General features: G+C 46.8%; 1 protein-coding gene and 1 pseudogene across 1 annotated transcript in view, besides 7 other annotated features; one reads left to right on the top strand and one right to left on the bottom strand.

Annotated features, from left to right (window-relative positions):
• Positions 1 to 7,101, bottom strand: part of PRKX (protein kinase cAMP-dependent X-linked catalytic subunit) — a 109,310-nt gene extending 102,209 nt beyond the window's left edge. The window contains exon 1 of the mRNA NM_005044.5: positions 6,540 to 7,101. Coding sequence (NP_005035.1) covers positions 6,540 to 6,705 — 166 coding nt within the window. The 5' untranslated portion in view covers positions 6,706 to 7,101. The remainder of the gene's footprint in view (positions 1 to 6,539) is intronic.
• Positions 4,448 to 4,969: an enhancer, noted in NCBI's record as "H3K4me1 hESC enhancer chrX:3629037-3629558 (GRCh37/hg19 assembly coordinates)". NCBI's record gives its function as "activates a minimal SCP1, AML or CMV promoter by ChIP-STARR-seq in naive H9 embryonic stem cells {active_cell/tissue: H9 hESC(naive)}" and the evidence as "EXISTENCE:reporter gene assay evidence [ECO:0000049][PMID:30033119]".
• Positions 5,195 to 5,324: an enhancer, noted in NCBI's record as "active region_29375". NCBI's record gives its function as "activates an Ori minimal core promoter by ATAC-STARR-seq in GM12878 lymphoblastoid cells {active_cell/tissue: GM12878}" and the evidence as "EXISTENCE:reporter gene assay evidence [ECO:0000049][PMID:35858748]".
• Positions 5,725 to 6,034: an enhancer, noted in NCBI's record as "active region_29376". NCBI's record gives its function as "activates an Ori minimal core promoter by ATAC-STARR-seq in GM12878 lymphoblastoid cells {active_cell/tissue: GM12878}" and the evidence as "EXISTENCE:reporter gene assay evidence [ECO:0000049][PMID:35858748]".
• Positions 6,205 to 6,484: a silencer, noted in NCBI's record as "silent region_20640". NCBI's record gives its function as "represses an Ori minimal core promoter by ATAC-STARR-seq in GM12878 lymphoblastoid cells {active_cell/tissue: GM12878}" and the evidence as "EXISTENCE:reporter gene assay evidence [ECO:0000049][PMID:35858748]".
• Positions 6,525 to 6,654: a silencer, noted in NCBI's record as "silent region_20641". NCBI's record gives its function as "represses an Ori minimal core promoter by ATAC-STARR-seq in GM12878 lymphoblastoid cells {active_cell/tissue: GM12878}" and the evidence as "EXISTENCE:reporter gene assay evidence [ECO:0000049][PMID:35858748]".
• Positions 6,675 to 7,404: a silencer, noted in NCBI's record as "silent region_20642". NCBI's record gives its function as "represses an Ori minimal core promoter by ATAC-STARR-seq in GM12878 lymphoblastoid cells {active_cell/tissue: GM12878}" and the evidence as "EXISTENCE:reporter gene assay evidence [ECO:0000049][PMID:35858748]".
• Positions 8,366 to 9,013: an enhancer, noted in NCBI's record as "H3K4me1 hESC enhancer chrX:3632955-3633602 (GRCh37/hg19 assembly coordinates)". NCBI's record gives its function as "activates a minimal SCP1, AML or CMV promoter by ChIP-STARR-seq in naive H9 embryonic stem cells {active_cell/tissue: H9 hESC(naive)}" and the evidence as "EXISTENCE:reporter gene assay evidence [ECO:0000049][PMID:30033119]".
• Positions 10,561 to 11,084, top strand: RPS27AP20 (RPS27A pseudogene 20; annotated as a pseudogene).

Below are 23,893 nucleotides of genomic sequence, written 5' to 3' on the forward strand. Positions count from 1 at the left end.
GATCTCAGCCCACTGCAACCTCAACCTCCTGGGCTCAAGCGATTCTCATGCCTTCGCCCTCCTTTGATTTTTACAAGTATGTCTCTTCCTGGTGGGGGGTGTCTGCTGCTTTCGAGAGTTTAACGTCTCCCTTCTTTGCAGCGTGCCCATGAACTGTAGATGACTCTGCTTTTGTCGTCCAATCCCAATGTGCACGCCCTGCTTTCCCGGGGAGGAGGCAGCGTGCTGCAGGCGAAACCCATTGGGCACACAGCATCCCTTCTCTCAGACCCTCTTTCCCATTAAGAAAATAAGGCTACAAGCATGGTGGATGCACCTGTAGTCCCAGCTACGTGGGAGGCTGAGGCGGGAGGATCACTTGAGCCCAGGAGCTCGAGACCAGCCTGGGCAACATAGCAATGCCCATCTCTACAAAAATAAATACATAAATTAGCTGAGTGTGGTGGTGCACGTCTGCAGTCCCAGCTACTTGGGAGACTGAGGTGGGAAGATTGCTTGAGCCTGGGAGGTCGAGGCTGCAGTGAGCTGTTGATTGCACCACGGCACCCCAGCCTGGGCGACAGAGTAAGACCCTGTCTCTAAACAAAAAAGCAAAAAGAAAATAACACTAATGTTGTCATGGTGGAGCTTCTGCCCATAGAGAAACTAATGTACATATTGTACCCGTCCAGTACTTGGCATCAGTGAGTGTCATAAAGAACAACTGCCGATAATGCCATCATCCATTCATTTATTTATTCACACACAGAGTGACCAGCTTGTCCCTGTCTCTGCCTGCGACTCTCCCAGCTAGCACTGAAGGTTTCCCACCTCAGGAAACCCCAGGCACATGAGGAGGGTTGATTTCTCTATTCATGCGGTGGATGGTCTTGGGCACACACTAAGTGCCGGGTCTGTTCTTTGGATGTGGGAGATGAAAGTGGCTCCAACACACAGAGGTCCCTGCACACTTGGCATTTATGTGCCAGCAGCGGAGGCAGGCAGAATGCTTGAGCCCAGGGGTTCAAGTCTAGCCTGGGCAACACAGCGAGACCCTGTCTCTTTTATTTAAAATAAGTCCTGCACATGTATCTTAATTTAACTTAAATTTAATTTAACATGTATTTTAACTTAAATTAAAAAAATAAAATGAAATAAACAATGAAGAGGAGAAACCGGCAGGACTTCTATCCTTGGAAATGTTCTCTGATGTGTAATATTTGATCTCATCTCTTGGCATTTGCGTGATGCACTTAAAGGAAACTGTCATTCACACATGCATGAGCCTGTCTCACACGGAGCACCCACATAAGGTAAATAAGATCAAAGGGCTGAGCTCCACTTTCTGTGTATTGTTAGGCTACAAACAACACTCCTAATTGCTATGTCAACACTGCCCACAAGGCTGCTGATTTATGCACACAGTAGAATCTCACCAGTTCAGATGCCATTCGTCCCGGCAGCATGCTGTGTGACAGACAGGGTGGGGATGCCGTGGACTCAATGTCTGTGTCCCCCTAAAATTCCTGTGTTGAAATCCTCACCTGCAAGGTAATGGTGTCAGGAGGTGAGGCCCTAGGGAGGTGATGAGGTCGTGAGGTTGGAGCCTCATGAATGGGATCACTGCCCTTATAAAGGGGCCCCAGAGAGCTCCCTCACCCCTTCCACCATGTGAGGACACAGCGAGAAGGCACCATCTATGAACCAGGAAGCAGGTCCCCACCAGACACCAAATCTGCCATGCCTTCATCTTGGACCTCCAGCCTCTGAACTGTGAATAAATGTCTGTGGTTTATAAGCCACCCAGTCGGTGGTGTTTTGCTACAACTGCCTGAACCGACTAACTTGAGGCATTAATAAGAACCCAGCAACAAGGAGAGGAAAGGAAATTCTGGCCAATTCAGGAGAACCAAGGACAAGAGAAAACCTACCAGTATAAGCACTTTAGATCTGAGAACCATGTATCATTAATTATGAAGATCTCCTAGCTCTTAAGAAAATAAAATATTTTCAGATTGTATAGTGTGTGAAAGTTTAAAAAAAAAAAAAGTGTCTGGCCAGGCACGGTGGCTCACACCTGCAATCCCACCTCTTTGGGAGGCCAAGGCGGGCGGATCGCCTGAGGTCAGGAGTTTGAGACCAGCCTAATCAACATGGAGAAACCCCATCTCTACTAAAAATATAAAATTAGCCAGGCATGGTGGCACATGCCTGTAATCCCAGCTCCTCGGGAGGCTGAGGCAGGAGAATCGCTTGAACCCGGGAAGCAGAGGTTGTGGTCAATACACTCCAGGCTGGGCAACAAGAGTGAAACTCTGTCTCAAAAAAAAAAAAAAAGTGTCGAGCAAGACCGAGGGGTGTTCTGTGGTGAGGGAATTCATCCTGCACCATGGTTTGGAGGGTGGTAGCTGCCAAATCCACACACTGGGTAAAACTGCACAGAACTCTACACACACACTCGCAAACACAAATGAGCACCTTTTGAAAACTAATAAAGCCTGAACAAGCCGGGCACGATGGCTCATGCCTGTATATAGTCCCAGCACTTTGGGAGGCCAAGGCAGGAGGATTGCTTGAGCCCAGGAGTTCAAGGCTGGAGTGAGCCGAGATCGCACCACTGCACTCCAGACTGGGCAACAGAGTGAGACCCTGTCTCAAAAAAAAAAAAAAAAAAAAGCTGAACGAGGTATGTGTTCTCTTTAATAAGGATATACCAACATCGATGACATGGTTCTGATATTGTCCCACGGATATGAAGACGTCACCATGGGGAAGTTGGCTGAAGGGTCCATGAGACTCCAGGTACTGTTTTTGAAATCCCCTGTGAGTCTGTATTTCAAAAAATATATATTTTTAATAGGGGTCTAGGAACTTTGGAGTCTTCCTCATCGTCATCGTGTAGGACAGGTTCCGTCATTATTTCCCTCTGTAGATGAGTAAATGCAGAACTAGGCTGAGAAAAGGAAAATGAAATGTGGACCCAAGGCCTGGCCACTGGTTTACCTGTTGAATTACCTCCTTCCTGACAGGTTAACACTTGGGGTACCCATGACAAGCAAGCACTGGGTTGTAGATGCCAAATGATTCCATAAGGACACTTCTGGGAAAAAACCCAAGTATTTTTTATCTGATATATAGAGAAAGGAATTCTCAAGTGGTCATTTTAAGTAGGAAATTGGTAAAATAAGGCTGGTAGATGGCTGCACAGATTCATCCTCTTCTCTCTACATAGGGTGAGTTTTTCATTTCCATAATATCATTTTCTTATTTTATTTTTTATAGAGAGGATCTCGCTCTATCACCCAGGCTGGAGTACGGTGGCGCGATTGTGGTTGACTGCAGCCTTGACCTCCTGGGCTCAAGTGATCCTCTTGCCTCAGCTTCCCAGGTAACTCAGGTATGCGCCACCATGCCCAGCTAACTATTACTACTATTTTTTTTAAGAGATGAGGGTCTCACTATATTGCCCAGGCTGGTCTGGAACTCCCGGCCTCAAGTCATCCTCCCACCGCGACCTCCCAAATAGCTGGGACTACAGGCACGCACCACTGTACCTGGCCCTGAAATTTCTTTTTTTAAAGCACAATTGTTCTCCATCATAGGAACAAGCATGGCTTGGTTATATGAACAAGAAATTTGAAGAACCAGATTGAAAACCATTTTTTCTCTGAGGACTAGTATGACTGTTCTGATCCAAAGTTCCTAAAACGAAATCGGCCTTTAGACCAGACGTACTCCAGAATCCCTTCACGCATAAAAAAGAAAAAAAGAATCCATTATCAGACTTTTCACAACTGCAAACTGCACTCTTTCTTCCTAACTACCTGACCTTGAGGAAAACTGGTCAATCTAGAACGCTGACAAGTTTCTTTTTCTCTCTGTCGCCCAGGCTGGAGCGCAGTGGTGTGATCTTGGCTTACTGCAACCTCTGCCTCCTGGGTGCAAGCAATTCCTCTGCCTCAGCCTCCTGAGAAGCTGGGATTACAGGCGCCCGCCACCACGCCCGGCTAATTTTTGTATTTTCTCAGTAGAGACAGGGTTTCACCATGTTGGCCAGGCTGGTCTGGAACTCCTGAGCACAAGTGATCCGCCTGCCTCGGCCTCCCAAAGTGCTGGGACTACAGGTATGAGCCACCACGCCCAGCCTGTGATTGGCTTTAAGTCATAGAAAATAGGATTGCTCAGCTGGCAATCTGCATACAGATCCCCTCTGCCCACCCCCCAAAAAGTTCAGTACTCCTGCGGGTGCTTGTTTGGGGCCTGAGAGAATTCGGAATGAGGGCGAAAGAGCACTTAAAAGCAAACTTATGTTCCTGTAGTGACAGTTTAGGATGAAGAGAGGTCACACCCACCCAGACTGGGTTTCAACTCCAGACTGAGACTCAAGCTCACCCCTCACTATTCTCCATCACGCCTTGGAAAACAGTCCAAAGCTGCTGTAGATTGTGGCTTAGAGACACAATCGTGAAGGATCTAAAAGGCTTAGGATTTTATAAAATGTATTATTTTAGGTGAATCACACTCAGATTGCTCTTTAACCAACAATAAAGAAACGGGCTTGGATAAAAGGTTGCAGATAATGTCACCAAAGCTGTGCAGTTGTCATGAGAGAGTGTTCCAGACGTGCATGCAAACATACACACACACACCCCTGGGTCCTGGTCCCCTGCTGTCCAATGAGTGTGGGATACCTAGCCCTCCTGTCACATCGTTGGAGCTCACAGGAAGTTATCCTTGAGAAAGGAGCATCATCCTCATCCTCATTAAGAGAGCACTGACTGGACTGAAAAAAAAAGCTGACTCCCCGCCCAGCCAGCTTGGTCCCCAGAGGCAGCGACACTCTATTTTTAAAGATGAGGTTACCCGCTGGGCACCCTAAGCTGACTTGACGTCAAACTGAGTGGCCCCCTGTGACACCAGAACCCCTCACCTCTGCCGCCCTCCTGCCCGCATCCTGCTCTCTGCCCCGGCCTCCAGCCCCAGCTCCACCTTTCCCAAGGGACCCATGTGGGTGCCCCAAAGAATGACAAACGCTGGTGCTGAGTGCCAAGGAACGGCTGGACCTCATCAATTTTCCATTGTCGAGTTGTATTTCCACCTACTGTGGCGGCTGCGCCAGTCAGGGTTCCTGCCCCACCCTTCTTCCGCGCAAAACACACCCAGCTCTAAGATTAGACCAGGACAGCTTTCCGGGGGGACCAAGACAAGGGGGAAGGCAGAGAGAGAGGAGGGAGGGAGACAGAAAAACCAAGACCGGAAGGGGACAGGGAGAGAGACACCAAGAGACAGAGGAGGAGAAATGCAGAGAGACTTGAACAGAGACAGAAAGAGGGAGAGAGAAGAGAAACAGAGAAAAGAGAGAGAGAATGAGATAAAGAGGAGGAGGGAGGGAGAGGAGAAAGAGAGAGGGCCTCCTCCCACTCTGTCCTTCCAAATTCAGGCTTTCCTCGTGGGCCCTTCCTCAAGGTCTAAGTGGCAAAGAGGTCACTGAAGGAAGCTAAGTCCCCTCTTCCTCAGCGGTTCTAAAGGCCCCACTGGCTATGCCCGCTGGTCTTCCTAAGTCATAAGCTATGGCCTCGAGCCCTTGGGCTTCCCAGCCCAGCTTCCTCCTTTCCAAAATGAGGACAAACAGGAGTTAGAGGGCCTGAGAGCCGACGCCTCACCAACACACCCAGGACAGCCCCCTCTACTCTCCCATTTATTTTCTTGACAGCCAACACCCCACTTAGCCATACGGAGTCCCTAAGTGGCACAGGCGGGCCGATGACAACTGTTTAAATCCAGCGCCCACGTTCAGTTGGGATATTCTGACCCACTCAGGGCTGCTCCATAAAGCAGCGCGTGTCCGGATGCAAGAGCACCGAGAACTCGAAACCTCTCTGTCAAGCTGCCCATTCGGGGTTAAGTTCAAAGACAGAGGACAAAGGAAACGGATAAAGCGTCCGATACAAGAATTACCCATTTCAGAGGCACAAGACGAAGAGCACAGGCGGTGTCAGGACATGTTAGGATCCGTCCCCAGCGCTGCCGTCCTCGTCCCCACAGCGCCCCGGGACACCTGTCCCCCACAGCCCAGCTGCTCCTGCAGCCCCTGGAGAAATCTGTACATTCCCTGCCTCTGGGCACACAGGGAGGCTGGCCTAGGGGAGGCCTGCAGGGGTCTTCGCACCCCGCGCCAGTGTCCCTGGGGCCGCTGCCAGGGAGGGAGCACGAGGTCCCCCAGGCGAGGTGACCCGCAGGAGGTTTTGTGACGTCGGACGGCCCAGGCCCCAGAGTGCTGTGTGTGCTGGGGGTGGAGGGTGGTCTCCGAGAGGAGCCGTCGGCATTTCAGGTTAGGCACCCGGCCGGTCGGGGGTACTTGCCTGGGCTGGGGGGCTGGGGAGTGCGCTCCACCCGGGAAGACCCGGGGCGCAGGTGCAGCCCCGCACGGGGACTCCGAGCCGAAGTAGCGGGTCAGGGCCCTCCCCAGGAGGTCGGCACCCAGGGCCCTTTGTCCTACTACAACGTCCCGGCCACGCCGCGCGCCCCTGTGGGCCGAGTCCCCGCCCGCACTCACTCACCCACGGTGGCCAGCGTGTCAAAGTCCTGCAGGCTGTACACAGGCGGCTCCGGCGACAGCGCCTCAGGGCTGGGGCAGAGCGCGGGCGCCCCGTCGGGGGTCTCCTCCGCCACCTTGCGGGAGTCGCTCTCCGCCGCGGCCGCCTGGGCCAGCCCGGGCGCCTCCATGGGGACGCACTCAGGTCCGGGGCACCGGGCCAGGCCGGAGCGCTCGGGGAGCCGGGCTTCCCGGGACGCAGCCTCGGAGGGCGGCGCGGCGGCGGCATCAACAGAGGCTCCCCATGCGCGCTCTCGCCTCCTGGTGCGCGGTCCGGCGCGGCTGACGGAGCGACGGGGACAATGGCTGGGCGGCGCTCACGGCACAAGCAGCAACGGCCCCGAGTGGGAGCAGCCGCCGGCCTCGGGGGGCGGGCACCGAGTGCGGGACGACTGCGGGGAAGGCGGGGGCCGCGGCCCGGGCTGGGGGGGGCGAGGCGGGGGCCCTGCGCATTCCGGGTCTCGCGCCCGCCGCCTCCTCCAGCTCGGTAGCCGCGTGCGCGCTGTTGGGGCGGGCGGAAGCCGCCTGGGCGTGACCGCGCCTCTCCCCGCCCTAACCCGGCCGCGGGGCTGGGGGCGTCGCCTTCGCGCGCGCTCCGCCCCCGCCCCGACCCAGCCCAGGAGCCGGAGACCCGGGCGTGCGGCGCTGGGGAGGTGCCCACGCCCCCTCCGCGCCCGGGGCACCCCTGGGGTGGGACCCAGGCTGACTTCTCCTCGGGGACGCACTGGCGGGCCACCCGCGTCGCTGCACCCAAGCCCGGAAGATGGGGAGGCGAGGGGGCCCGGGGACAGGGAGGGCGTAGCTCAGCAGAAGTGAAGTTCAAAACTAAAAAGTGAAACTGGCGTTTGGTGAAGAGAGGGGCTCGGATTAGCCCGGCTAATTTTTGTATTTTCTCAGTAGAGACAGGGTTTCACCATGTTGGCCAGGCTGGTCTGGAACTCCTGAGCACAAGTGAACCGCCTGCCTCGTTCTCCCAAAGTGCTGGGACTACAGGTATAAGCCACCACGCCCAGCCTCTGATTGGCTTTAAGTCATAGAAAATAGGATTGCTCAGCTGGCAATCTGCATACAGATCCCCTCTGCCCTCCCCCCAAAAAGTTCAGTACTCCTGCGGGTGCTTGTTTGGGACCTGAGAGAATTTGGAATGAGGGCGGATCCCCAAGAGGGGCTGCCGGGTCTTCGGGATGAGTTCAGCGTCCTGGTTTTGCTGTAGGACTCTGGTGATTCTAGATTTCTACTTGGAAGGGGCGGGGAAGGGCGGGCTCGACCCTGTGCGTTTCTTTGCAGCTTCCTGTGGATCTAGAATTCTTTACAAATAAACATTCCTTTAAAAAACTAGGGAAAGACAGATTTGAGAGATCGCCCGACCAAATGTAGTGCGTGAAACTTGATTGGTCACTGTTTCAAACACCCCGGCGACAACCCTATAAAGAATTGTGCAGAGGCATTTCAATTTCAGAAACCCCAAAGATTTTTTTTTCCTGGCTTAAGTGTGGCTCAGGCAATAGTTGGACATACTTATATTTAAAACCCATATCCGTGTGGATTTGAAATGCAAATATAGCTAGATATTTGGTCACCCCTTTCCCCAGGGAAATGCAGACAGTGCTTAACTTGCGGGCCTGGCACGGCCTGGACGCTGCGCCCCTGACCCGCGACCAGGGCGGCCCAGGCTGCCGGTTCGCCGACCACAGTTTGAGCAGCAAGGGGTCAAACTGCAAACGCCTTTGTTTTGAGGGATCTCAGCGATTCTGCGATTGGAGGGGGTCTCCAGTCCCTCAGTCCGCAGGTCAGGGGGGCTTTCCGAGAGCCAAAGCGGCCTCTAAGTCAGAACGGACACATTTTTAGGGGGACCAGGCCGAGCCATCCTTCCACAGCTAACGGGGAGGGGGAGTCAGGAAGTCTGAACCTGGCTCAGGCTTTGGATTTCTGGCCCCTGGCTGCCAGCCTCGCCCAGCCTCCACCTGCATTTTGTGGGTGGCATTTCCCCCCGGGGGTGACACCCGCTCCCTATGCTCTGCAAAATCCTGAGCTGGAATGCAAAACATATGCGACACCAGCAGGCCCCTGCCATCCCCTGAGCCTGGTTAGGACAGGTCACGGCCCTGCCAAGCTTCACCAGCAAGCCGCGCAATCCCTTGATCCTGGTTAGGACAGGAAACGGCCCTGCCAAGCCCTGCCTGGCCGAGGGGTTCAGGGCCAGCAAGGAACGCGCACTCAGGAAAAGTTCGTGTCTCCCCGCGGAACGCGCGCCCTCTCCACTAGGGCCTGACCTTGGAAATGCAAGGCTGCGGCCTCATAAAGTCCTTTTAATCAAGGCCCGGGTTTCACACCCAATTAAGCAGATGTCCTTGCCTGCAAATTGCACGCAGGAAGAAGAACGTGGCACAGATTTGCAGCGTTAAACTCTGCTTGAGCTGCTGGTTGGTCTGATTCCACCGAACCCACCCTGAACTTGACCGCATAGCTACCTCTTCTTATAAATAGACCCTGCACGTTTCACAACACCTTGCTTGACAAAACAGCTTTCATCTGGAAGGATCATAAAAATCCTTGAGAAACCACAGCCTATTACTTGAGAGACAAAAAAGGAAAATCCCTGTGAGTTAGGCATGGAAGGGTCATTACCGCCTTAATGAAGTGGCATTAATTTGCGGTGGAGTCAGGAATTGCTGAACTCTGCCATTCGGAAGGAATAAGTCCCTGACCCTAAACCAGAATGAGCTATAAATTCAATACAATGATAGGTGCAGGTGTTGTTAAATATGAGAAGAATCAAAATTGTACCATCTGGCTTAGCACAGAGACTCACACCTGTGATCTCAGCACTTTGGGAGGCATGGGGGTTCGAGACCAGCCTGGGCAACATTGGAACCCACCCCCCCATCTCTACCAAAAATAATTTTTTAAACTAGCCACGTGTGGTGGTGCACACTTATAATCCCAGCACAGAGGCAAAGGCACGAGGATGCCTTGAGCCCAGGAGGTCAAGGCTGCAGTGAGCTATGACTGCACCACTGCCCTCCAGCCTGGGCAACAGAGTGAGATCCTAACTAAAAAAAAAAAAATCATACAATCTCTGAAGGGAGCTGAACACTCTTTAAGCATGTATACTGTATGTGTGTGTTTGTGTATGTATGTGTGTATATATAATGTATATATAGCCATTCCATATATTATATATACTGAATTAAATATGTTATATATTTGTGTATATGTATGTGTACATAAGTATGCATATATATGATATATAATATATTTTGCATAAATGATATATAAAATATATATTTCTATATATGGTGATATAAAATCTTTTTTCTAATTTTATTTTTTATTTTTTCATTTTTATATATTGAGGAGGTACAAATGCAGACTTTCTGTTTTTCAGTAATTTTGCTTAAGATAATGGCCTCCATTTCCTTCCACGTTGCTGCAAAAGACATTATTTCATTCTTTTTTATGGAATCATAGTATTCCATGGTGTGTGTATATATATGTTTGTGTATGTGTGTGGGATTACAGGTGCCCGCCACCACGCCTGGCTAATTTTTGTATTTTTTGTAGAGACGGGGTTTCACCATGTTGGTCAGGCTGGTCTCAAACTCCTGACCTCGTGATCTGTCCGCCTCGGCCTCCCAAAGTGCTGGGATTATGGGCTTGAGCCACCGCACCCGGCCAACTTTACAATTTATATATATAATTTGCATATATATAACTTATATAAATATATATTCTAGTATATTTTATATAATATATATTCTAGTGTGTGTGTATATACGTGAAGTGTTTAGCCACCTTCGCAGACATATACACACACACATATATATATTCTGAGTTAAACATATATAATATATAAAATATATGTATGTATATGTGTGTGTATATATATGTGTATATGTGTTTGTGTGTATATATATGTGTGTATATATGTGTGTGTGTATATATATATTTATGTTGCAACTTATTGACCTAAACATATGCTTCAGCTTCCCTTTCACTGCCATCTGCGGTGAAGCTGCCACCAAACTGCAGATTTTCGTGAAAACCCTAAGGGGGAAGACCATCACCCTTGAGGTTGAACCCTCAGATGCGATAGAAAATGTAAAGGCCAAGATCCAGGATAAGGAAGGAATTCCTCCTGATCAGCAAAGACTGATCTTTGCTGGCAAGCAACTGGAAGATGGACGTACTTTGTCTGACTGCAACATTCAAAAGGAGCCTACTCTTCATCTTTTGCTGAGACTTTGTGGTGTTGCTAAGAAAAGGAAGAAGTCTTACCCCACTCCCAAGAAGAATAAGCACAAGAGAAAGAAGGTGAAGCTGGATGTCCTGAAATGTTATAAGGTGGATGAGAATGACAAAATTAGTGCCCTTCTGACGAATGTGGAGCTGGAGTGTTTCTGGTAAGCCACTTTGACAGACATTATTGCGGCAAATGTTGTCTGACTTACTGCTTCAACAAACCAGAAGACAAGTAACTGTGTATGAGTTAATAAAAGACATGAACTAAAAACAAACAAACAAACAACAACAACAACAAAAACCATAGCTTCAGAAACACACAGTGCCTCCATACTTTGTTATTTGACCAAGTGTAAGAGGTCTTCCCAGGGCATCTGGAAAGGGGTCCTCCAAGCAATACAGTGATCAATTCCTGTTTAGACCACGCCAGGAATGGAAACTCTATCATTTCCTGAGGATATATCCACCTATGATTTGGTCTTAGAAGGCAGGAAGGGAATTCTGATAAACGTTTAGTTACAGCAATACAGTTTCAAATTTTAGTACTCAGATATCACCATAATTACGGTAATGCCCTTGGTTGCGTGCCTACTGCGTCCCAGGAATAGAATCCGTCTTTTCTCATGCTCAACATAGTTCATTCTCGTTTTCTCAGATGAGCCATTTATTGGGGCTTGAGTATTTTCATGCATTATCGAGTCATCCCCAATGCCTAGCATGTTCCTTACAAGGACTGATTCACTGTTGGTAGCTTTGCAATCTTCTCTTCTCATTTTTTCCTTGTCACAGGACGGTACCATCATGGGTTAGTTTTGGCTTTACATGTTAGGACTTCACTATAGCCTAGGAGTTGGCTACATTCCAGTACAATCTTCAGTACTTCTGCCTCTGCTGATGGGCCGGGCCCATTGTGACTAATTGAAGATGATGAAATTGATTTTATAAATGTATGTAAAACCACGGTTATCAGAGATCTGCTGTGGTCTTAGCCCAGCTGAATCACCATCATTCCCAGTCTTAGAAGCCACCTTTTTGCCATTTTTCAGGGCCTGATTCTCTAGAGACATAATGTCCAATGGGATTGGGCACGGTGGCTTACGCCTGTAATCCCAGCACTTTGGGAGGCCGACGTGGGTGGATCACTTGAGGTCAGGAGTTCGAGACCCAGCCTGATCAACATGATGAAACCTCATCTGTATTAAAAAGACAAAATTAGCCAGGCGTGGTAGTGCATGCCTACAATCCCAGGTACTTGGGAGGCTGAGGCAGGAGAATTGCTTGAACCTGGGAGGCAGGCGAGTGAATGAGATCATGTTGCAGTGAGCTGAGATGACGCCATTGCACTCCAGCCTGGGCAACAAGAGCAAAACTCTGTCTAAAAAACAATAATAATAATAACAATAATAATAATGTCCAAAGGGACGCCTTTTAAAAACAGCTGAAACTTGGCCGGGTGCGGTGGCTCATGCCTGTAATCCCAGCACTCTGGGAGATCAAGGCGGGCGGATCACAAGGTCAGGAGATCGAGACCATCCTAGCTAACACGGTGAAACCCCGTCTCTACTAAAAATACAAAGAAATTAGCCAGGCATGGTGGCGGGTGCCTGTAATTCCAGCTACTCGGGAGGCTGAGGCAGGAGATTCGCTTGAACCTGGGAGGCGGAGGTTGCAGTGAGCTGAGATCGCATCACTGCACTCTATCCTGGGCCACAGTGCAAGACTCCGTCTCAAAAAAAAAAAAAAAAGAAATGTCCTCTTGGATTTCTTGAGGCTGTGAGTTTGAGACTAGCCTGGCAGACATGATGAGACTCTGTCTCTACAAAAAAAATTAAACATTAGCCCAGCCTGGTGGTGCATGCCTGTAGTCACAGCTACTTGGGAGGCTGAGATGGGAGGATCACTTGGGCCCAGGAGGTAGAGGTTGTGTGAGCTATGATTGTGCTACTAGCCTGGGCAACAGAGTGAGACTCTGTCGCAAAAACAAACAAACAAACAAACAAGATCATGTCCTTTACAGGGACATGGGTGGAGCTAGAGGCCATTATCCTTAGCAAACTAACACAGGAAGAGAAAAACAAATACAGCATGTTCTCACTTATCAGTGGGAGCTAAATGATGAGAACACATGGACACATAGAGGGGAACAACACATACTGGGGCATTTTGGAGAGTGAAGGGTGGGAGGAGGGAGAGGATCAGGAATGATAACTAAGGGTCACTAGGTTTAATACCTGGGTGGTGAAATTATCTGTACAACAAACCTCCGTGACACAAGTGTACTTATGTGACAAACCTGCACATGTACCTCTGAACTTAAAAGCTAAAAGAAAACAAGACAAAACAAACCAAAACCAACTTTTGAAAAAATGAAAAATTATAGGACTTCTGAGTGAAATGAAATTTTCCACATGTGTATTATACTCAGTTCCCAAGTTAGAGGGTCTTGAATTCTCAATGGGTTTATAGGGATTAATTCATCCCTGGGTGGCCAAATATTATAGTTGGACAGAACGTCATTTAGTTAAAATTCACAACATAAAACCCTAAGCCACTCTTTCTACAAACTAAGTTTTAAAAATCTGCAAACGTAGAATGCAATCAAAGCGATTTTGTTCATGTATCAAGCGCCGACTTCTAAAAATAATGTTTCTAAACATGCCTGTTTATTTGGAGGCTTTTCTTGAGCGATTCCAAAGAAAATCCAATAGAAAGCCTTGAGGATGTCCTCGTTGTCTTCGCTGGTAACCATTCATTAGGAAACGCCTAGATGAGCCTGTAATTAGAATGGGCTGCGTTTACTCCTCATCCAAGAGACACATGATAGTTTTTATTTCTGGGATACTGGTAAAGTTTATGGAAAATGCAAACTATGGTATTGAAGGAATGCAGGTGAATAATGTTTCCAAAGCGGTAAACAAAAGCACCAGAAAGAAAAATCCTTCCTTCAAAAGGGAAGCTAATGGGATGTGTTCATGTTATTGTTTAACTGGATTTCCAGATTTGAACGTCACAGGTAACATTTCACTCGAAGAATAATAGAAATGATGTGTATGGAAGCAAGTCAGTAAGCAAGATGACTTCAGAGTGAATTCATCAGAGGTTGTTGCAGTGGCTCACACCTGTAATCCCAGCACTTTGGGAGGCCGAGGCGAGAGGATTGCTTGAGCCTAGGAGTTTGAGACTAGCCTTGGCAACATACCAAGACCCCATCTCTACAAAAAAAATTTTTTTTCAATTAGCTGGATGTGGTTGCGCTTGCCTATAATCCCAGCGATTTGGGAAACTGAGATGGGAGGATCACTTGAGGCCAAGAGTTTGAGACCAGCCTGGGCAACATAGTGAGACCCATCTCCATTTAAAAAGAAAAAGAGAGTAAGATAACCATGGACACCCATCGCTGTGTTCTGTAATATGTTAATGAGGTTTCCTTTAAATATTTAGATCCCTATAATGTCAATGTGGGAAAGCAAAAACGTGTGGGAAAGCAAAAACGTGTGTGAAAACTCTTAACCAACTCTCCTGTATCCTATAAGATACGACACTGGCCTTGTTATTTGGAATTCACTTGCGTCGGATCCTTTTTTATTCATTTATTATTTGGAAGAGATGGAGTCTTGTTCTGTCACCCAGGCTAAAGGGCAGTGGTGTGATCATGGCCCACTGCAGCCTCAGACTCCTAGGCTCAAGCGACTCTCCCACCTCGACCTCGCAAGTAGGTTGGGATTACAGGTGCACGCCACCACGCCTGGCTAGTTTTTTATAGAGATGGGCTCTTGCTATGTTTCCCAGGCTGGTCTTAAGGGCTCTCGCTATGTTTCCCAGGCTGGTCTCAAACTTGTGAACTCAAGCGATTCTCCTGCCTTGGCCTCCCAAAGTGCTGGGATTATAGGTATAAGCCACCATGCCCGGCCTGAATTAGATCCTTTTACTTCTCTTTCTGCTGATGGGCTTTGGGCTATTCCCTGAAGCTTGCAGGTAACACAAAGTGCAACACAGTAACGTGAGAAAAATTATAACACATCAAGTCACATTATGTCTCTAAGCATAATAAGTAACAAAGGAGTTTCAATCACTCACTATTTTTGGGAAAAAAAGCTGATTTTGATTCTCACCTTGCACCGTAATTAAAAATACCACAAAGACATCACAAGAAAAGAAACTGAAATAAATACCAGAAGTATTAAATTGAAATTGGGGACATAAATCAAACTTGAAACAAGCCCAGTCCCTGGTGGGCTCCAAAGAACTTTCTAAGCTTCATAGCGATCGAACTACAGGGGTAAAGATTAATAGATATGACTACCTAAAAATGTCAAGACAGTTGTTGAAATATAAAACAAAATGAAAATACGTTTACAGCAAGCTTACATAGTGCATGAGATGAAAGGCCAGACTGGGCCAGGCATAGCGGCTCACGCTTATGATCTCAACATTTTAGGAGGTCAAAGTGGGAGGATCGCCTGAGCCTTGGAATTTGAGACCAGCCTCGGTGACATAGCAAGATCCCATTTCTACAAAAAATAAAAATGAAAAGAATTAGCTGGGTGTGGTGGTGTGTGCCTATAGTATCACCTACTCGGGAGGTTGAGGTAGGAGGATCACTTGGGCCCAGGAGGTCAAGACTGCGGTGAGCCATGATTGCACCACTGCACTCCAGCCTGGGAGACAGAGCAAGACCCTGTGAAAGAAAAAAAGGAAGGAAGGGAGGAAGGAAGGAAGGAAGGAAGGGAGGGAGGGAGGGAAAGAGGCAGAGAGAGAACCGTCAAAGAAATGCAACTAAGAACAAATGTGGCAGTTGTTTGTTTATTTTTAATCTACCGAATACTAGGAAGATAAAGTGTTCCATAATGATGACAGAATTCTTATATACTTTTGGTTGTAATGTTAATTAGGGCAAAGCCTTAGAGTGTTAGAAATGATTATATGTGTTGGTCCACTCGTTCTATAGCTAGGAATTTGTTTTTCAAAACTAAATTCCACAGTGCAGCAAAAGCTTCATGGTTATAATTACCTATTTATTTATTTATTTGAGACAGGGTCTCACTCTATCGCCCAGGCTTGAGTGCAGTGCCGCAGTTATAGCTCACTACAGCCTCTAACTCCTGGGCTCAAGCAATCCTTCCACCTCAGCCTCCTGAGTAAGTGGGACTACAAACATGCACCACCATGCCTGGCTAACTTTGAAAAATTTTTAGTAGAGATGAGATCTTGCCATGTTGCCCAGGCTGGTCTAGATCTCCTGGACTCAAGTGATCCTCCCACCTATACCTCACGAAGTGTTCAGATGACAGGTATGAGCCACCATGCCCAGCCTAGTTACCCATTATTCAACACAGTTTATTTGTTTGTTTGTTTGTTTTTTAAAGCCAGTCAAATTTAGCAGTGGGACAAGGCAATACCTTCAGCACCTTAAAATACGAGAAGGCGTGCATTTACGCTGGTTTGTTTATGTGAGGAAATCTTCAAACTCTTCATAAACAGGAACAGAGTGAGAAAACTATGGTTACATTTTAAGACATATAGGCAGCAATCCAAATTTTATAATACACTCCAATCTTACAGATATAAAAATATAATGTAAAATGATGAGAAAATGTAAAAAGTGTGGCAGACGGAGTTACTAGAATCTTCATTTTTAATGTGATTCTCCTTCTTGACTACAAACATGAATAATTTTCTTGTAATGATGAAACAGACTTCAGAACACACGATAGATGATTTCATAAAAGATACCAATTGAGAGATTTGGAAACCAGTGTGTGTAAAGTGATGGATGGGGTTAGAGTTATCTTAGGACTTGCTAAATTGCTGTGATTCTGTAATTTATCTCATTTTCTAGGGGAGCGATAAGAGGATATGTACTGTGTCTCATCCATGAATCACAGTGTTTCACAGGTCCTGTCCAGCTAGTCATCAATACTTATCGGTACGAGGCTAATACAAAGGAAACCTGAAAACTGCTGAAGGGCATAGGAAAAACAAATACCCTGACCTTGGAGGAAAACATGTACTTCAGCTCATTCTTTCCGGCTGATTCCATGTGGCATCCTCCCCGTCAAAGTGAATGTGGGAACTTGGCCAAGTGAAGTTAAAGTTTATCTGGGAGAATCAATATGAGACACAGAATCGTAAAATTTTGAAAAAAAAAAAAATACTTGTCATCAGATGGGAACTAGCCTTTTTCCTGACAAAGCCAGAGTTTTGAAGATAGTTTTATTTTATTTTATTCTATTTTATTTTATTTGAGATGGAGTCTTGCTCTGTCGCCCAGGCTGGAGTGTGCTTGCGCAATCTCGGCTCACTGCAACCTCCGCCTCCTGGGTTCAAGCGATTCTTCTGCTTCAGCCTCCCAGGTAGCTGGGACCACAGGTGTGCGCCACCATGCCCAGCTAATTTTTGTATTTTTTAGGAGAGTCAGGGTTTCACCATATTGGCCAAGCGGGTCTCGAGCTCCTGACCTCATGATCCACCCACCTTGGCCTCCCAAAGTGCTGGGATTACAGGCGTGAGCCACTGCACCCGGCCCTGAAGATAGTTTTATATTGGAAAGAGATTGAGAAATACGTTACATTGGAGTCCGGAAGTCATCCAGCAAGCACGTGACATTTTTAAGCCTTAGAAAGAACAAATGTTTCCAAACAGATGGTATTCAGACAGCTGCATAGTGAGTTACTTTTTTTTTTTTTTTTGAGACAGGGTCTCGCTCTGTCGCCCAGGCTGGAGTGCAGTGGTGCAATCTCGGCTCACTGCAAGCTCTGCCTCCCGGGTTCACACCATGCTCCTGCCTCAGCCTCCCGAGTAGCTGGGACTACAGGCGCCCGCCACCACGCCCAGCTAATTTTTTGTATTTTTAGTACAGATGGGGTTTCACCGTGTTAGCCAGGATGATCTCGATCTCCTGACCTCATGATCCCCCTGCCTCGGCCTCCCAAAGTGCTGGGATTACAGGCGTGAGCCACCGCACCCAGCCTAGTGAGTTACATTTTTTTAAAATATAAGCCAGGTTCCTTCTTTGCCCCTTATATCAAAATAAAGGGTTTTTATTAGTTATTTTTTTAAATAGAGACAGGGTCTCACTATGTTGCCCAAGCTGGTCTCAAACTCCTGGCCTCAAGCAATCCTCCTGCCTTACCCTCCCAAAGTGCTGGGATTACAAGTGTAAGCCATCACACCTAGCCCCAAAATAAACTCCCGATAGGTCAAATGTATGTTTAAAAATAAAATCATAAAGTACTACATAAATATATGGACTTTAAAAATGTAAGTTAAGGCTGGCCACGGTGGCTCATGCCTGTAATTCCAGCACTTTGGGAGGCCGAGGTGGGAGGATCACTTGAGGTCAGGAGTTCGAGGCCAGCCTGGCCAACATGGTGAAACTCTGTCTCTACTAAAAATACAAAAATCAGCCAGGCATGATGGCGCATGCCTGTAATCCCAGCTACCCGGGGGGCTGAGGCAGGAGAATCACTTGAACCCAGGAGGCAGAGGCTGCAGTGAGCTGAAATCGTGCCCCTGCACTCCAGCCTGGGTGACAGAGTGAGACTCTGTCTCAAAAAAAAAAAAAAAAAGAACAAAAAACTTGACTGATTTTGAAGACCATGCCCAGCTCTGTGCTTAGAAGGTAATCTGAGCTATTTAATGCTTTATCTCACCTTGGTTTGAATGTAGGGCTGGGGAAGGAAAGCTAAAGCCCCCTCCCTTCCAAAAGGAAGTGAACCTTTTGATTCACTGGGATTTGTGTCAGTTTGTGACTGGGCAGGATTTGTTTCCTGGACGCTGGCAGATAAGTGTCTTTGTAAGAGTTGCCATACAGTGTTTCTGAAATCCTCTGTTGGGTGTAGAGTGAAGGCCCCACAGAAAACTGGCCTGGGAAAAAGGGATAACACCTTAGAATGCAAGCTTCTGTTTTCAGAGCCGTTCCCTGGCAAAAGAATGAAGTAGTTTCCCAAAAGAGAAGGCGACAGAAGGATTGAGTGGGGTTCACTTGGCACCACCCAATTTCCAATTCAGCCGTATTTTCTGAGTAGTTCTACAAACAAAGGTCAAGTTGGGGCCAGGTGCTGTAATCCCAGCACTTTGGGAGGCCCAGACAAGAGGAAGGCTTGAGGCCAAGAGTTTGAGACCAATCTGAGCAACACAGCAAGACTCTGTGTCTATACAAAGTTTAGAAATTACCTGGGCGTGGTGGCGTGTGCCAGTAGTCCCAACTACTTGGGAGGCTGAGATGGGATGATCACTTGTGCTCAGGAAGTCGAGGCTGCAGTGAACCGTGATTGTACTACTGCACTACAGCCTGAATGACAGAGCAAGACCCTATCTCTAAAAATTAAACACACGTACGCACGCACAAAGGATAAAGGCTTGAGGGGCTGGAGACTGCATCATCCGTGATGTGCCTATTACGTATTGCATGCCTGTATCAAAACATCGCATATACCCTGTAAATATATATACCTACTATGTACCCACAAAAAATTTTTAAAATGTTAAAAAAAAATAATAATAATTTTAAAAAACAAACCATTAAGGCCGGGCATGGTGGCTCACACCTGTAATCCCAGCACTTTGGGAGGGCAAGGCTGGTGGATCACAAGGTCAAGAGAGATTGAGACCATCCTGGCCAACATGGTGAAACCCTGTCTCCACTAAAAATACAAAAATTAGCCGGGCGTGGTGACGCGTGCCTGTCATCCCAGCTACTCAGGAGGCTGAGGCAGGAGAATCGCTTGAACCCAGGAGGCAGAGGCTGCAGTGAGCCGAGATCGTGCCATTGCACTCCAGCCTGCACTACAGGAGTGAGACTCCATCTCAAAAAAAAAGAAAATGGATTTCTTGCTATATTATTTTCTATGCAAATATAATCTGTTTCCCTCAATGGAGTCTCTTTCCTGGTGTACAAAGACAAGCTTGAGACAAGTTTTATAAAATATGTTGGTTAGTGGTCTCTAGCATTATAGATTAAAGATTGTTATAGAATCCACATCTTGCAAAATATACAGCTGTAAAAATAATGTTGGGACCTTTCTCAGGAGCAACAATTACTGCATTTCTCACCCTCCGTAAATATTTATATATGGCTGTATTTCCCTTTTAATTTATTTCTTTTATTTATTTGTGTTTTGAGACAGGTTCTCACTCTGTTGCCCAGGCTGGAGTGCAGTAGTGCAACATGATTCACAGCAGCCTCCACCTCTCGGGCTCAAGCAATCCTCCTGCCTCAGCCTCTTGAGTAGCTGGGACTACAAGTGCACACCACCATGCCTGGCTAATTTTTGTATTTTTTGTAAAGATAGGGGTATCACAAGGCTGGGCACGGTGGCTCATGCTTGTAATCCCAGCACTTTGGGAGGCCGAGGTGGGCAGATCATTTGAGGTCGGAGTTCGAGACTAGCCTGGCCAACATGGTGAAACCCCGTCTCTACTAAAACTACAAAAAAAAAATTAGCTGGGCGTGGTGGCGGGTGCCTGTAATCCCAGCTACTTGGGAGGCTGAGGCAGGAGAATCACTTGAACCCGGAAAGTGGAGGTTTCAGTGAGCCAAGATCGTGCCATTCCACTCCAGCCTGGGCAACAAGAACGAAACTCCGTCTCAAAAAAAAAAAAAAAGTGTCTCATTCTGTCACCTAGGCTGGAGTGCAGTGGCACCATCTTGTCTCACTGCAACTTCCACCTCCCAGATTCAAGTGATTCTCCTGCCTCAGCCTCCTGAGTAGCTGGGATTACAGGCACGCACCACCATCCCCAGCTAATTTTTGTATTTTTAGTAGAGACGGGGTTTCACCATGTTGGCCAGGCTGGTCTTGAACTCCTGACCTCAGGTGATCCACCCCCCTCAGCCTCCCAAAGTGCTGGGATAACAGGCTTGAGCCACTGCGCCAGGCCCGACATTTTTCATTAACTGTGATGAGAGCTGGATCGCCTCCTATTTTGAAAGAAAAATAAGAGAGTCGACAAATTGCAAGCTTTTCCTTCTGAGAGACTCACGCCTGCTATAAATGAGCTACATCCTTACTGATGAGCTTGGCACAGATCTTTGGAAGAAAAACAAGTCTGAAAAGATCAAATTAGCCAGGCATGATGGCATGAACCTATAGTCCCAGCGCTTCTAGAGGGAGAATTGCCTGAAGTCAGCAGTTCAAGACCAGCCCAGGCAATATAACAAGACCCCATCTCTACAAAAAATAGAAAAATTAGCTGGCATGATGGTGCACCTGTAGTCACAGCTACTGGGGAGGCGAAGTGGGAGGATTGCTTGAGCCCAAGAGTTCCAGGCTGCAGTAAGCTATGATGGCACCACTGCACTCCAGGTTGGGCAACAGAACAAGATTTCATCTCTAAAAAATAAAAATAAATAGATAAATAAAAGAGATCAATTAAAAGGCAAATAGAGCCATATATAAATTTTTATGAGGGTGAGAGATACAGTAATTCTTGTTCCCGAGAAAGGACCCAATATTATTTTCAGAGCGGTAAATTTTGTAATAAGATGTGGATTCTGTAACAATCTATAATCTATAATGCTAGAGACCACAAACCAGCATGTTTTATAAAACTTGTCTCAAGTTTTCTTTTTACCCCAGGAAAGAGACTCCACTGAGGGAAACTGAAATTATATTTGCATGGAAAATAATATAGCAAGAAATCCATTGTTGAAACCACAGTGGGGAAAAAAGAATGCTGTGTTTGTGGGGTTTTTTAAGTTGTAAAGGCTGTATAAATCTAAGGAGTTTTCACCTATTTTTGTTTGCGCATGTTTAGGTAACGTTACAACAATTTTACAAATGTTGGGGTTGCTGGCATTTGCAAGGCATTCTTAGACAAATCCAGGAAGACAAACAGTAGGCTTGATTCTTCTAAAGCCTTCTTAAGCTCATTTCAATACATCTTTAAAATGTTACCAGAATAACTAAGAACATCTTAGTTTCTTGGGGAAGGAATCAGCAAACACAGCTTTTCTCCAGGAGCAGCAGCTTCTAAACTCCCAACATCCTCTCTCTAATATAACAATTCTCTCCAAAGTAATCTTGCCTCAAAGAGAAAATTACTTTGTATAAATAGACGGTTTAACATTAGGCAAAGCAAGATAAGATTGTTTCTCAAAATATGTAGACCATGCTGCTGAATTGTTTTGCTTAATGTTTAAAGATATTTGAGCTGATTCACTCCTTAGCATTTAGTCACGTCAATGTTCTCGTTCATGAGTGTGCGCTTGCATGTGCTTTAACTGAGCAATGAAGATCGCAGTGAGGGGAGAAACAATATTCGTTGCACGGACCTCTGATCTTGTCAGAACAACCAGACCTGATTGTGAGTAATTTGTCCAGTTCCACCCAGCTGGGTGCTGAGGTTCAGTGAACGTCACTGGCTCTTACTATTACTCATGCCATTTCTTATCTTGGAGAGATGCCGTTGGAACAATTTAGGATCTCTCCTCTAACTCGTCTGATTTTCATTGACCTGAAAATTCTTTCAACATACTGACATAAAGCCAATTGAGAAGCATCCACAAATGCTATGAATAAAACAACATTGCTATCTGCATTAAATTAATACCCGATTTAAGCATAGTCTTGAAAAGAAAAAAAAGAAGGCTTACAAGTTCAGAAATGAATTGTGGTCATTATATGGATAATGTTAATAAAGTAATTCAAATGTTGAAACAATGTACAATTATCATCTGTACTTCATAAGCCAACTTTTATTAAAGCAAGAGTAATTTAATTTTTTTTTTAAGAGATAAGGTCTCACTGTGTTGCCCAGGCTGGAGTGCAGTGGTGCAATCATGGCTCACTGAAGCCTTGACCTCCCAGGCTCAGCCTCCCAAGTAGATAGAACTATGGGCACTTGCCACCATGCCTGGCTAATAAAAACAACAACAACAACAACAAAACAAACAAACAAAAACTTTATAGAATTGGAATCTCGTTGTGTTGTCCTGGATGGATTTGAATTCTTGGGCTCAAGCAACCCTCCCACCTCGGCCTCCCAGAGTGTTAAGATCACAGGCATGAGCCACTGCACCTGGCCCTAAGATAGGAGTAAATGAGGCAAGTGGTATCATAAATATGGAATTGACAGCCACAATGAATACTCCCTCTTTGATTTAATAAGATGGAATTGAGGCCGGGCACGGTGGCTCACGCCTGTAATCCCAGCGCTTTGGGAGGCCGTGGCAGGAAGATTACTTGAGGTCAGGAGTTCAAGACCAGTCTGGCCAACATGGTGAAATCCTGTCTCTACTAAAACTACAAAAATTAGCCAGGCGTAATGGTGCACGCCTGTAATCCCAGCTACCCGGGAGGCTGAGGCAGGAGAATCGCTTGAATCCGGGAGGCAGAGGTTGCAGTGAGCTGAGATTGTGCGACTGCACTCCAGCCTGGGCAACAGAGGGGGACTCTCTCTCAAAAACAAAGGTGGAATTGAAATTTATTATCAATTTAACCCAGGGTTTCGTCGTTATCCTCTTCATTTTCCTGAAATGGCTGGTCCTCCAGCAGTCACTCAATCATTTCCCAGATATTCTGTGATTGCTTTCTTTTTTTTTTTTTTTTTTGAGACAGACTCTCACTCTGTCGCCCAGGCTGGAGTGCAGCAGCGTGATCTCAGCTCACTGCAACCTCTGCCTCCTGGGTTCAAGTGATTCTCCTGACTCAGCCTCCCGAGTAGCTGGGACTACAGGCGCCCACCACCACGCCCGGCTAAGTTTTGTATTTTAGTAGAGACGGGGTTTCACCATGTTGGCCAGGATGGTCTCAAACTCCTGACCTCAGGTGGATCCGCCTGCCTCAGCCTCCCAAAGTGCTAGGATTACAGGCATGAGCCACCGCACCTAGTCATTCTGTGATTTCTTTAAGGGAGCATGGTCATTTATTTTTACATATGGAAATACATTCATGAGATTTACTCCAGACACACTTATCAATATTACAAGACATATTTGAAAACCCAAATGTGTTCCCTAAAGTATATCCTGGATAGCTGAGTCACATAAAATTCTTTAAAATCAAGCAAAATATATGTATGTATATATATATATATGCATACATACACATATATAAATTGTATAAGCTTAAGAAT

The sequence above is a fragment of the Homo sapiens genome, chromosome X, assembly GCF_000001405.40.
Source record: "Homo sapiens chromosome X, GRCh38.p14 Primary Assembly".
NCBI lineage: Eukaryota > Metazoa > Chordata > Mammalia > Primates > Hominidae > Homo > Homo sapiens.